General features: G+C 34.1%; 1 protein-coding gene across 20 annotated transcripts in view, besides 1 other annotated feature; it reads right to left on the minus strand.

The window, feature by feature from the left end:
• Nucleotides 1–15,342, minus strand: part of SOX5 (SRY-box transcription factor 5) — a 1,033,147-nt gene that overhangs the window by 543,306 nt on the left and 474,499 nt on the right. The gene's annotated exons all lie outside the window — the stretch shown is intronic.
• Nucleotides 8,141–9,891: an enhancer, noted in NCBI's record as "VISTA enhancer hs895". NCBI's record gives its function as "enhancer in: hindbrain (rhombencephalon)[5/8] | limb[5/8] | trigeminal V (ganglion, cranial)[5/8]" and the evidence as "EXISTENCE:transgenic organism evidence [ECO:0001131][PMID:17130149]".

Here is a 15,342-nt window from a genome sequence, read left to right on the forward strand (position 1 = left end):
TTTCTGTTTTGAATGCTTTGACAAACTGTACTTGGACATTTACTATAATTTAAATTATACCCTACTTTACATGAATAACACATAAAATTTTTTTTTAAAGAAAACATAGATAAGTCACAGAGAATGCTGAATGTATCTACATTGGAGTTTTGGACACATATGTGCTCCAAATCATTTACTATCCTAAAATGGATACCTCAAAGAAAAGTAAAAATGTAAAATATATTTGCAAAACAAAGATTTTTTTTCTGACATCTTATGATGGAATATACTTTTCTTCTCCATTTAAAATTGTCAATGGTGCACAAGTGATTTCATCCTGTGCACCCAAAAGGAAGGCAACCACAGGCAAGCCTTCCAGCTGTTTTTCATCAAGGATTGTAATATTTATTCTGGAAGAAGCAAACAACAGATGCATTTGGAGAACATGAGTTCACCTGGATCCTATAGCATATGAGCTCAAATCCAATCTGCTAGTCAATAAACATCTTGTAAAAGAATAACCACCAAAACACAAAAAACAAACAAACATAAAAACCGACACATGCTTCTAAAAATTTAAGTTTACGACCCCATGGACAATCTTGACTCTAATCTTTATCTCTATACTCCTCCATTTACTGTTATTAATGACTAAGTGCTGGGGACACCTCTGTGAACATGTCTTTTCATTTCAACACCTTATCATGCTACCTTCTGTAAAAATGGTCTCTTCATTTTCTGGGATGGTAACTTACTGTTGCTCTAAAGATGACATAAAACGTATTTGTAGCTTTCTTTACTGATTTACAGCCATTTTCAATAAAACTGCCAACCATGCATGAGAATCTGTGAAAACACTTCAGGGACCCTGAAGGACCATTTATCATTTTTCAAATAAACATCAGTATTAGAAACTAGAATTTTTCAACAATGATTCAAATTTAACCTTTTACCTAGCACAAGTGCTCTGATTACATATTTTTGATATCTTCTGAGAGGAAAGATAAATAAATAAATAATACACAATGAATTTATGAAATTTTACAAAACCATGCAGAAAGAATAGACAATAAATTTTATTTATTGCTTCTTTAATCTTGCTCCCAGTTTTTGGCTATTTCATAATTAATATGGAAAAGAGTAAATCTGAGACAGAGAAAAGGTGAGACTTCTATCAGATTACTTCTTGATAGATTCTCAATAAAATCTGACACTGCACTCTAGCCTGGATGACAGAGACCATGCCTACATCCCTCAAAAAAAAAAGCTCAGTGTACACAAGATGTAGAACAAGTTCAGTAGAACCACACAGCTCTTGTTCCTCTTTCAAATTCATGTTTTATTTCTAAATTCATAAATGTATCCAAATGGAAATATAAATGCACCTGATCTCTCATCAGGTCACACACAAGAATCATATACATTTATTTCCTCTTCCCCCAACACTTCAGTAACCTCCATGATTTTTAAATCCTGCATTTTCTCTAGACCACAAATGACACCAAATTCAGCAGATCGAATCAAACCTGTATACTCAAATTCTAATTCTATAGAAAGACAGTGAATGATTTCATAATCTTAACTCAGGAAAAAAAAAACAGCTACCACCTGCACCTGGATAGGTACCAGCAATGATTATAAAAACTAACTACATTAAATATAGTTAAACATTGCTGTACATTTTAGTACCTATTTGATTAATGACAAGAGTAGTGACAGACAGTTGCAATATGGAATCTAATGTTTATACCCAAACAGTACATCAGTCATTTAGCCCAAATTTACCTTACTCCCACACAAACCTGGTGTCAGGCTTAGTGTTTATTTCTGTAAACTACCAAAAAAAAAAAAAAAAAAAAAAAGCTCAATATTCAATTTAAGTCTTAATTTTTTCACATGAACAAAATTTGTATGTGTTAAAGAAAATTCCAAAGCTTTTCATACCACTCTTGAATTCACTTTCGCCATTTCTCTGAAGCATTTATCACACTTCTCTTGAAAGTTTTGTGACCTACTCAGAAATCTTAACAATGACTCTACTGTATAACTTGGGAAATTTGGTTTCTACTCTTTGGATTACTTTCTTTTGTTTTTTTGTTTGTTTGTTTTATTTTGTTTTTTTTTTAACTCTCCAAACCTAAATTGATTAGCTTCCTGCTGATGGTCCTTTTCATTAATAGGCAATGCCAGCCAGGCATGGTGGCTCACCCCTATAATCCCAGCACTTTGGGAGGCAGAGGCAGGAGGACTGCTTGAGCTCAGAAATTCAAGACCAGCCTGGGCAACATAGGGAGACCCCATCTCTACAAAAAATAAAAAAAATAAAAATTAGCTGAGCGTGGTGGTGCTTGCTTGTAGTTCTAGATACTTGAGAGGATGAGTCAGGAGGATTGCTTGAGCCCAAAACTTTGAGGCTTCAGTGAGCTATGATACCATCACTGCACTCCAGCCTGGGGCAAGAGAGTAAGACCCTGTCTCAAATTATTAAAAAAAAAAAAAAAAAAAAAAAAAAGTCAGTGCCAGTCAGAAACAGGACCTGCAGGTTTTCCTAATTTTTTATAGCACATAAGTCTTAAATGAAAACTCAATATTATATTTGTCAATATGTTTTGAGAAATGAGAGGCTAAGTATAAGAAATCCTATTCTTATTAGATAGCTATGACCTACATTATCTGGACCGTAGGAAAAATGTAAAAAAATATTTAGTTCTAATGATAGTCACTGTAAAACTGCAGACAGATATATAAGGGGTAGAGCCATAATCCAAAGCTGCCCAAAAGTTTTTCTACAAGAATTAGAGAAACTTTTTATTGTTTTAATCAAGAAAATTACACCTTAAAAAACATGTTTGAACCATTTTTTTTTTAAAAAAGACATGATTGAAATAAGCAAACCCAAAGTTTAAATGCTCCTCAGCTGGACTCTAACTGAGAGTAATCACTGAATCTCATGGCTTGTTTTGTTTGTTTTTTCAGCTTTTGCTAAACTGTTTAACTCATGACAATTTTTCAAAGCAGCCAAGGAGGCCAAAGTAAAATCACAGTAACACATAATGTAATGCAAAGGAAATGCTCAGAATGCACAAATTCCTGCATACAAAGGCAAGATGCTGATTCCCACCAAAGAGAAATGGAGTTAGCAATTGGAGAGGAAGAAATGGAGATACTCAACACTTAGATATGGAGTAAAGGAGGAGGACACTGGGGAGGAAGATCTCTGGGATGGAAAATGAAAATGGTTGTAACTTTCGCCCCATTGGTTTACTTTAAATCCAGCCTGTAGAATGAGAGAGTGTTTTTTGTCGTTGGTTTCTTTCTCCCTTCTTACAGCCCTCTCCAACATGTGTGGCATCTAGCATCTGGGTTTGGGTGGCTTGTTATTATCTCTCTAAACATATAGTTTGATATCCCTTTAATTAAAATGGTGACCATCACCTAAAACAACTTTTCTGGAGACGGACCTTGTAAACCCACAAAACCCAGGCATGGGTTTGTTGAACCTGCAGGCAGTTTTGTTTAAGTGAGCATTAAAGACTTGGCAAGCCCTCCATGCTCTCATTTACTTACTCTCTATTATCTATCCACTTAATAATTTCAGAAACTTCAATCAGACTCTGACCAAAAAAATCCACACAGTGCTTGGGGTAGAATGATAATACCATCTGTTTTCATTCTTATGTGGGTTCTTTCCAACAGCACAATCCAGCATTCTGGTTGCTTGCTTTAAATGATCCTGACATTATAGGTGATTTAAAGAAAACTCTCCTATGTCACTTGCCCCTTGCAAACATGCAGAATCTTTTTCCATGTGAAAAAGTCTAAAGTATTTTCATATTCATGTTGATTGCATTTGAATTCTATAGATAAATAGGACCAATGTGAAATACTAAAAAAGATCCAAAGCTGCCTTTTTTTTTTTTTTTTTTTTTGTAATGGTTGGTAAGACTGAAAGCTCTTCTAAGGAGTTTATTTGGCATGAGACTTCTAATTCTCTTTCCTAAAGTCTAGATGGCAATTTTTTCTTAAAAAAAATAAAATCCAAACCATCCCTAAAAATAGAAACTACTAACTTACTGAGAACCTTTTATATACTGACTTTTCAAATGTGAAGCTCTCCTTTACAGTATTCCTTAAGAATCAGATTACAATACTATTATCCAAGCCCTAGGAATAAACAGTTATATCGTTTCCTTCAAGTCATGGTAACAACTGAGAATTGAGAGTGAAGGTCAAATGTTTTAAAACTCTTTGACACAGGAAGAATTAGCCAATGGGATGGAAAAATACATTCTAAATAATTCACTTTTGCAGATTTAACAATCAATATGGAGCACCATATGATAGCTATGGCTCCAACAATCTGTATCAATCATGAAGATTGGCAGTGGCAAGCTACACAGACCAATTTTTGTCATGCTACCACAGTCGACTTTACAGTCTATGTGTAACCAAGACTGACTCTGGTGCTTTCCCCGACACACCACACAGCCCCTTCCAAGATCTGCTTCCAACACATTCAAGGGCTTTTCTGAACCAAACCTGACTGAAAACCTTTGGAGACTGGCGCACAATTCTTACGATACTCCATGTTTTCCTTCCAAAGGCTGCATCTTTAATACATTATATTGGGTTTTTCCCATCACACATTTAATGTGTGAAATTTCTAAACTCTTCCCCTTCACTTATCTAAATTGAACTTTGGCAGCCAACAGTTAACTGTTGGAGAGTTGCTTAAAACGATCAAACCCTTACTAGATCTGATTGCAAGGAGTATCAGTGCCAAGATAGAAATTTCAGTCTTCATCATACACAAAATCAATATGTATGCTTCGCTCTGGAAAGAAAGCCACCTTGAAAATAATTAATAAAACATCAAAGCTGCACACAACTTCAAAAGTCCACACGAGACTGAAACATTTGAGGCAATTAAAAGAAATTACTAATTTATACAAGGTGGTACTTCTCTTCGAAAGGTATTTTCATATATATATATATATATATATATATATATATATGCAGCTAAGTGAAGACAAATCTCAGTTTTGGCTTCAAAATGGCAATTTAAAATCTTAACAACACACCCATAGCAATTCTGAATGTTACATTAAATACATAAGCTTTGAGAAGCCTTAAGAATAATTTGGAAATATTTAAATAATGTAAAAAAACCATAGAGAACTGCAACCTGTATTTCCATTGAATTATAGTGCACAGACATATTATTAGAATTTATATTTAAAAAGCATAACTTTTACCTTTATAATATGTACACAGATGAAATAACTTCCATAAAACACATGACAACAAAATACATTTCAACTATTAATTGTATTTTACTGTCCTACAAAGTTACCTATCGTTTGCTTATTTTTAAATCTTAAATAGATATGCTGTGTTTGATGGTGGATATTTTTAAAAACAGTTTTAAAAAAAGGTGACTAAGAAGTAACACTAGCTATGGAAGAGGGGAGAGAGAGAGAACTTTGTGAAGTGGGCGTGATAATACAGTTTGTACGAGGAGGAGGAGGTACCTGAAAAAGGAAAGCTTGACAGAAGATACGATGTTTGTTGTGGCTTTTGAATATGAGCCACAGTTATTGAACCTGTGATTACCTGGACAAGGGTAAGCAACTACATAGAGTGAAGGCTGGAAAGCTCTATTGGAGTGAGAGAGATAAGGGTCCTGTTTGCCTGGCTTAGGTGTTTAGACTTTAGCCTGTAGGCAACTGAAAGTCATTGAAGGCTTTCAATCAGGAGGATGACATAACCAGATTTGCATTTTTAAAAGATAACTGGCATCATCAGTGAGATAAATGGATCTGTAACAAGAGACAGGAGGCAGGGAGTCTGCTTGGGAGAACTCTGTGATACACTGTGACTCATGGTAAGAACCTCAAGTAAGGTAAAGGCACTGATATTTGAGAGCAATTATCTCTATGCTCTCCACAAAGCCTCAACTTCACATATTCAATGTGTTAATTTCCAGGAACTACAAGGGTTTTCGAAAACTTTATTTAGCATTTCTAGAATATGTATCTTTACAGAGCACTTTTTAAGGCATTTCTGAACCAAACCTCTCAACTTCCTTAGCAATGAAAGAATGTTTTATTGTCATTATAGAATTTTTTAATAGAAATATGGTTATTATGACTTAGTGTCTTTCATCAATGTCGTGAAACCATCAACTGCCCTCCTTCTCTGCTTACCATTAATTTTTTACACCTGATGATACAGCAAAAATTACAACTCTGCCCAGGTGCAATTTCTGTCTCCCTTCCCCCATGAGTTTTGCTCTGTTCAACATCACCTCACGTAGCAGCCAAAATGATGAAAAGACATGGCATTTGTTTAAATTAAGAGAAAAAAAAGTAGGGTGGATAGAAATGCTCTAACAATAAAATTAAAAAAAAAAAACCAGCTTCAGAATTTACGCAATATTTTCATTTTAAAGATAAAGTAAACTTGACCCAGCCAGGTTAAATGACTTGCCCAAGATAAGATCAACTGGTGAAAGGGTTTTTCTGCCAAGACCACAGGGAACCATCTAACTGTTAACCCATACTTCCAAAGTTGTTCATGTCATAAATTATAACAAAGTTGTTAAATGCAACTTTGAGGAAAGTTATTTTCCAAGGACCTACAAAATGTATGACATGAAAATAAATAGTACATTTTTGCATATTTCCTAAATTAAGGGGGATGTTTTTATTGTTTTATTTATTTTTATTAAATGAGAGAACAGTAATTTGGTATTTATTCACAAAGTTGCATTAATAATATCCTAATCCTGCAACGACACTGAAACACTAATTTGAAACCACTGATTAAAAAATTGTTTTCTTGGGTCCAATATGTATACTAAGGAGATCAGTCATTAAATTAATATAGTATCAATATACAGACAAAGTATCAATATATAGTATCTATATATACTAAGGAGATCAATCAGTCCTTTGGTTATTGATGATTTATATGTTATAGCATGATTGAGCTGGTCAACTCTTCTTTTTGAGATACCTGATTTTTAAACACCTTTTTTTGTAGTTACAGTCGAGAGCCGATCTGTATTTTAATAAGTGATTAAACAAGTGTAGCACATTAACATCCTCATAATTCTACCTATGAGTTTTAAGATAGCGTAATTATTCCACAGGAGAACTAAAAGTAATTAGTAGATAAACTTTCTGTGTTGTATACAATTACTACTGCTTTATTTTTTCAGAGTACAAGCAATGTAAGGCTCACAGAGGAAACTTTGGAACAATTATATATTGTTTTAACTTCAGGAATAAGTTCATACTACTTTTATTTCCTATTACAATTTTTAGCAAAATTGTATAAAGTTACTGGGAAGGCAAATTACTGCATGTAAGATAAAAATATGTTTCTGAGAGGACAAAATATCTTGAACTGAAAAGAATGCCTCTGTGTATTTTAGTCAGAAACAGTATTAATAACTACATGACACAAAAACATGTGAACACTTTGGAAAAATATTTAGTATAGATTAACCATTTCTATGATTGCAATGCTAACATATAGGAACTCAATAAATAAATGTTGAATATCAAATTAAAATTTGACATTAACTAAGTGCCACAATGTTATCTCCTACAATGATATATCTCTTAAATTTTCCCACATTTCAAGAAAGTAACATCACGCTCTTAAAAAGATCAAAATGAAATTTGGCTTAGTTGACTTTAATTTTTGTGTGCATTTATGTAGACAAATATAATTTTTATCTGCATTTGAAACTTTTATTGCCAATGCTGGTTTCTATTGTCTGTCTATTTACTTCACCCAGGACTATGGACTGTGTGTTGAAACTTCCAATGTTTGAAGATCTGCTTCTTTGCCCTCTGAACTGTAAGTCACTTTGGTTCCAAAATATTGTTTGCTGCATTCTGATTGATCTGTGTGTTTTTGCATCTTCCCCAGGATTCTACAGCTATGGCACATTGCTTAAACCATGCAGAGTGAGCACAAATATTTGATAAGCAAAGCTGAATTTTTAAAAAGTCTTTTAGGGGGAAGAAATGGCATTGTAGCTACTGTATGATTTTAATACATCTCATTGGAATGGCTAAGTTAAAAAACAACAACAACAATGAAGATTGCCAAAAAAGTAAACAAAAAACAAACTTTAAGGACAAATTCCATGTACTTGCACTTATGTGAGTTAGAATTATTTTAGCCTGCTCTCTGTAATTATTAGCAGTAATACGCTTATTAACTTGTGAATTTAATACATATGGCATCAGTGTAAAATCCAATGATGATATCAAGAGAAATCACAAAATGATCGTTTTCTCTCTTTATCCTAAGCTGAGCAAGGAACCTTTCCAAACAGTGTGAACTCATTGGCTTCCCCATAACTCTACAGAGCTCGCGCTGCCATATAACTGGGAATCAGAGAGGTGAGGTCATTTCATCACTCCTTGCAAAAAAATGCAAAACGTCTGCTAAAATCTGACTTCATTTGATTTACTCTCCAAGACTGTTTTTTATTAAATATGTTTGACTGCTATCTCTAATTAAATGTAGAATTAATTTTGGCAAACTAACCACAGATGCAGTTTATGTTCAATTTTATCAGACAGATTTATTTATAAGCTGTCAACTTCTTGAAAGACTTCATTTTGGAGCAGTTTTAAATTGCTAACAGTAGCTGTAAATGGAGCTACTGTTCTCTGGAACACTAAAGGAAAAGTATGCTATAAATGTCCATTCCATCTGTGAGGAATCATAAAACAATCACATTCCTTTATTTTTTTTCCTCCGTAGGACCTTTATTAAATTAGTTCAACTCAATTAAAAATAACTTCAAAAACATTTCAGAGCCTTTTGTTTCATGGAATACTTGGAACTCTCTGCACGGAACGTCACCCTTTTAACTAATCCCTTTTACTAAATGGAGGAGAATAGTGGTATTGTGACTTCAGACAGTGCTTTCAAGGGTCTCTACTGTACCGAATTGAGGTCACTGCAAGACAATGCTCAACACCCAATAGCCATTCAAACGTTCTTCACAACTCTATCAAACGTGTCTTTCTTTCTCTCACCCGCTTTCTCTCATGGCAAACTCAGAGGACAATGGAAAAAGCCTCCAGCACCATTTATGGTCACCATATTTGCACATGACAAAATCTATTCTTCCTGGTTTGCCAACTCCCTGTAAAAAGAATGAACCCTGGGATAGATTTTCCCACCGTTACTGTTATTCAAACTTACTTTGTATTTAATTTTGTTGTTGTTGTTGTTAGAGGGCTGATGCATGGCATTTGAGAAGCTGACTTGCTATTTTCGAGCATGTGTAACAAAGCAGAGACTAAATGCAGAATTAAATATGTCACATTATAGCCAGCATATGCATGACGGAGCGTACAACTCAGGACAAAGCAGAGACAAATGATGGGACTGGAACTATTATACCTTGTCTTATTGTTTAGTGTTATCAGTATTATAAAACTCACTGTTTCCCTGTGAACCACCATGTCTGTGCCCCACAAGCACTATTTAGTTTTGCCTGGGAGTTTTTATGGCTGCAGCCACAAACAAACAAAATCAATTGCTGTAAATTTCTCTCACCAGGGCTGCTCCTTTCGAAAAGAAAAAAAAAAAAAAAAAAAAAAAAAAAAAAGATGTATCCAGAGCCTCATCCTCCAAACAAACAAGAAAGAACACATATTTGCAAGCTATATAGTAAAGTTGTTACAATTAAGATTTTGATTTTAATTAAGAATGGGATTTGTAGGACAATTAGTGAGATGTAATATTCTTTGCAAGAAACGGTGCCCTTATTGGAAATACCATATAAAATGGAATTGGGGGCATTTGGAGCTGCACAGAGACTTGTTTCTATGGATTTCTACAGATAATGAGAAGAAAAATACCAGCAAAATGTAGATAACTCACCTGAAATGCAGAAATATTAATACTGTTTGATCTTTTTTTTTCTTAGTTTTTTCTTCTCTTTAATTCAGGTCATAGTTATCTTTGCTGTTGAGATTTTAGTCAGGTGTCCTCTTACTATTAATATACTTTATAAATTCTTCATTTATTCTAAACCACTAATTATTAGAAGTATACCTCATCTCATTTGCTTTTATAAAGATTTAATTACACAAAGATATAATGATAGATTTAACGATAATAATGGCAACAAACTTCTCAGTTATGTTGGTCACGCTTAGCTGCCCTAACATTACAAAGAGGACTCTTTCTATTATTCTGTCATGTTAAAGAACAGAATTTGTGTAATTCCTTAAATGTTAGAATAACCTTTCCTTGACAGCATATAGATTTTCATGTGTTATGAAAACTAAAAATGCATTCCCTAATCAAACGGCTGATAATTTTTCAAGTGTATTCAATTTGTTATACAATACAATTTTTATTTCTCCTCTTCACCATAAGATTAAGCCTTAGTAAGCAAATTAAAGGACCTCCTTCCCTGAACACATGAAAAAATTGTAATAGTGACTATTTCATCAGTTATTATGCCGTGAATTACAAAGACCAAATATATATAATCACACATACAAGATTTAAAACATGTACTGAGCACCAACTTTCTGCAACATTTATTCTACAGTATTTTCTAAGCATATGCTATCTGCCAGGCATTGTACCAAGCCATGCTACAGTACAATACACATTGTAGATGCCTTAATGCAGTTTATAATCGGCTGGGAAAACATACAATTAAACATTTGTAATCACTCACTGTGAAGCACTGTAGGTGCAGAAATAGGTATAACGTTTTTTTCTCAGTTTAGAAGTCAAAAGGGGAACTTCCCCAGAACTATGGGAGGCATCCTGAGTGTAACTTACCACAGTTATTGAGTAGCCATCTGAAAAGCATCGTGCTAAATTTATTAGGATTGAAAGGTGAAAAACTTAGAATATAGCTATAGCTGGGGTTTGGGAAAGAGTAGAGGAGAAGCAAGAAGGAATAAAATGTAAAAACACAAGGAAACAGTAATATGTCTGGATCATAATGAGGAATAATTAGTGGCCCACTTTATTTCTAATGAGGCTATTTATATGGAATTAGGGCAAAATAGGTCTGGAAATCTAGGCTGGAGCCATAGAGTACTTGCTGGTCCTTAAGTGCTACCCTTAAGTACAGCTGACTCGTGTGGGACGAGATAGAGAACTAGAAAAACAAATTCCAAGGCTTCTTCAGGATCTCACCGGAGAAGGAATGAGAGTCTGGTGTTTCTGCAGTGCAAGAGGAAAGGAGGAAAGGCACTGAGGAGATAAAAAATCTGTATGATTTGGAAACCACAGATATGGTGGGCAAAAGAGGAAGTAAGTCAACATGATCTGAACAGGTTTACATTAGTCTGGATGTATCTATAAGGTTGAACTATGTGAAACTGCCAATCTAAAATATCCAGGTGATATTTGATCAGAGGCAGTGGAGAAAGAAGAGCAGTCCAAGGGGATAAATTCAGTTTGTGTCTAGATTCAGGAAGCAGAAGGGTGAAGTGGAGTCAGTAAAATGGTTAAGTGAAACAGTCTACTGTAGAGATGGGATTCTGACTTAATTTCCTTAATATCACAGAAAAACATGGGAGAGCTCCTGACTTTTATCTCCAGTGTTAGCTTCAAAATAGATTTCATATCTTGAGTATCTCTCCAAAACCTAAGATTCCTGATTCTTTATTTTGCTCCTTCATTATCCTTTAATTAAATCCCTTATGTGTGATATTCTTTAAAATGAAATCTTAGTTTAAAAATAGTCCTCTATACATTTCATTTCAGAATCCATTATGTCAAGGGAAAATATTGGAAGTAAAATATGAACATGGCACATTTCAACAATTCAAACGTCCACTACCAGTTACAATAACTTTGCTCTTGTTATCAGCTGTCAGCATTAGTTTCAAAAGTGGTGCTCCTCATGCAGTTTCTAATCATCTTCTCCCTCCCATTTTATTCTAGAACTCCAGTGTAAACCCAAAAGGCATAAACTGCCTTTTAATAGTTGTTCTGTTATGCATAGCCCTAACCTATCACTACATGTTTTACATTAATACTACAAATGATACATCTTAACTATAGTTATCTTTTTACTAATTGATAAGCTTTATATAATAACAATGATGCTAACAGAAACCTTTAAGTGATTATATTTATATAAATCACTTGGCTATCTGCCTTTTTCACTTTCTAACTACCTTGTGGAAGAAGTGTTGTTAACATCATACTCTCACAATGATTATGTGAGACACAGGCTGACTTCAAAACCACAAGGACTACCTGAAAAAAGAGGGCGCATGTTCTTAGCATGGCTGACGTATACAGCCACCACTATCCTACTGGATTCCTCTGTTCAAATTAAAAAGATACTTTCTTTTGCCTGACCTTGCCCAGCAAGCAAGAGCATGGCCAGGAAGAGGGGCAACAGATGCCTTTCAGCCTGTTCACCCTGAATTCATCCCCTCAATGGAATACCTTTGGGCCATCTGAAAACTACACAATGTAATGTGGGCTCATGCCAGGGACTCTGCTATATGTGCCCCAGATACACTATCTCAGTTCATTCTCACCATGGCTCTATGAGTTGGATACAACTTTGTGCCCACTTTACAGAGGTCAACTAACTTGCCCACAGTCATAGCTAGTCAGGGGAAACATCAAAGTTGTCAGATGGCAGCGTGACCTCAGAGCCCTCATTCTTAGCTTCAACAAATTATTGGAAGTATCATTATGTTAAACCAGGACTTTATTTCATATATTTACATAATTATATTTTGTTAATTATTTGGCTATAATATATACGTGTGCTAATAGTTAAGGGCTAAGTCCCACATACACCTTAGAAACTACTATTTTCTTATGTAATTACTTCCTAATAAATGGGAGAGAGGGAGATCTAGAAAGATGTCTCACCAACGTAATTCTTATAACAAAATGAAATTTGTTATATTTGAAAGAAGAAAAGTTCTTCATTTTGGAAAGAAAAAAAATCTTGTCATTGACAAAGAAGAAAAACTAATATTAAGTTTGGGTAAAGAAATTAACTGTGAAAATATCCCTCCCTCTGACACCCTCCTCAAATAAAAGCTTACACAGCACACATAAATTGGTAAAACAATCCCCACAGGTAAGATAAACATCATAAGTTGTCCACACAGACAAGAACGGATATGCTAAAAAAAAAAAAAAAGTATTTGAAATTACACTACAAATATTTTACTTGGTAGTAAAATACTTAAAGTATTTCTCAGCTCAGACTACTTTTGCCAAATCAGAAGTTTTCTTTTGCGTGGTTAAGAAAGCCAAGAGTATTCAAAATATTTTTTAAACGGTTCTACCTATGATTCCCTCTGTTTCCAGTGGAAGCATTGGCAAACACAATTTGGCTGTTAAGGGAGGGGAAAATGCAGTACATTTTTTTTTTCATTGTCAAAATATACTCTTAGTTAAGAAACCCCTAGTTGGAAATAATTGAAAATCTGTGAAGTATAATAAGTACCTACCCAGACTACATAGACTCTCAGAATTTGTTTCTCCTAAGACATGATTACAGAATCAACTCAGGACACAATGCTAAATTCCTACAGTGCTTGTAAAAACTGCCACAGAAACAGCAAATCTATTTGCTAGTTTTTAAAGTAATCTTACATTACTTGAATGTAATGTCATGTAAAATTCTATATAGAATTTTGTAAATAATGAGGGGCAGGGGGAGAGGGAGAGAATGAGAAAGAGTAAACTGTCATGTTTTAAGAAAAACTAGTTTAAAAATACACTCATGAAGCTAGTCAGAAGAAGAACATTTCAGAAATGATTCTCCTGGTACTGATATTTCACCTACAAACCCAATCTTTTGTTTGTACTATATTATTACTTACTTGTTCACTTCTAGTAACTATATTCTTTCTATGGAGTTTGAGTGGTCTGAAGGCCCAGGAGACAGTCAAAACATTCAGCAAAACAGTTAAGCTCTTCTATTTTCTTTCTTTACATTAGTCGTTACATATAAACCCACTAAGGTTAGGAAGAATCTCCAAGCTCAAAGAAAATGTAACTGTGAGACACAAAAACACAGTCAAATATTCAAGGTTTAGAATATTATGTTCATTTACTCGAATAATCTTTAAATTTGTCACAAGTGGTATTTCAACAATAGTTCGGAATGTACCAATCAAAAAGAGGGTTCTAAGATCATTAAACAAAAATGGCATACACATATCGTGTTTTCACAAAACTTAGAGTGACCTTTTTCTAAATTATTTAAATATATGTTTAATTAACTCAGTACTAAGGGCTCATGCATATGTTTCTACATGTTGGACACTGCCCAGACAGTTACAGTACAACCACATGCTTTAAGAATTATCAAGTGTGTGTTCTCTGTCTCTCTCTCTCTCTTTATATTTTAGAATTGCTTATCATTATAGAATGGTAATAATAATCCTAATTATTGTTCCAGGAATTGCCAAAATTTTATCATAATTTGAGTGAAATGCATAAGAAAAAAGGACACATTGACAAATTTTCAAATAGAGATGTAATATTTCATTTGTGACATCCACTGTTACACGTACATTCAAAGGAATAATAATAATTGATTATGTCTCTTACCTTTATTACTCGTCATCTCTTGCTTCTATTTTTACCTTGAGTGTTTATTAAAGTGTACAGAGTAAAACCAATAGGGTGCTTTGCCTACAAGTGTCAGGCAGATTTACTTGGTTACCAAGGTACAAAGGTCTACACGGGGAGGATGAGTTTATTTTATCTTTGACAAAATGATTAAAATGGCAGATAATATGCTTTTCATTTTGCTGAGAGCAAATACTTGAAAAGGAATTGTGAACGTGGTATATTGAGAATGCAATGACCTTCAAATTAAGGCATAACCCTGGCTTGTAAACTCTGAGATCATTTAATTTACTACTGTAGATATATGTTTACAATATGTAGAATATGCCTCTTTTCTAGGAGCAGATTGTTAAACATTTTTTTTTTGTATAGGAAATCTTCCTTTTAAAATATTGTTGGGGGTTAGTATTTTAAAATAAACCACTCTAAATATTCACATCCTCTATTTATATGAATAACAGGAAAAAATAAAAGCATCTCTTATTTCTCCCCCTTACTAATAGAACTAACAGGGTCTTGGGTGTAATGAAGGAAAGGCAGGCTCTTTAGCCCTCAACATTCTTCCAACTAGTGAGTTTCTAACGATATCTCAGAAATGGGCCAAAAAGCAGGAGGAAGCACTTGCATCCCCCAGGAAAGCTACAAGCAATGGGTAATAATCTCTGCTATTATATTTTAGAAATACTAAGAGAAAGTATAGATATGTCTTTTCATTAATCTCATCTTTAAAAAAAAATC

Source organism: Homo sapiens, chromosome 12, assembly GCF_000001405.40.
Source record: "Homo sapiens chromosome 12, GRCh38.p14 Primary Assembly".
Taxonomy (NCBI): domain Eukaryota; kingdom Metazoa; phylum Chordata; class Mammalia; order Primates; family Hominidae; genus Homo; species Homo sapiens.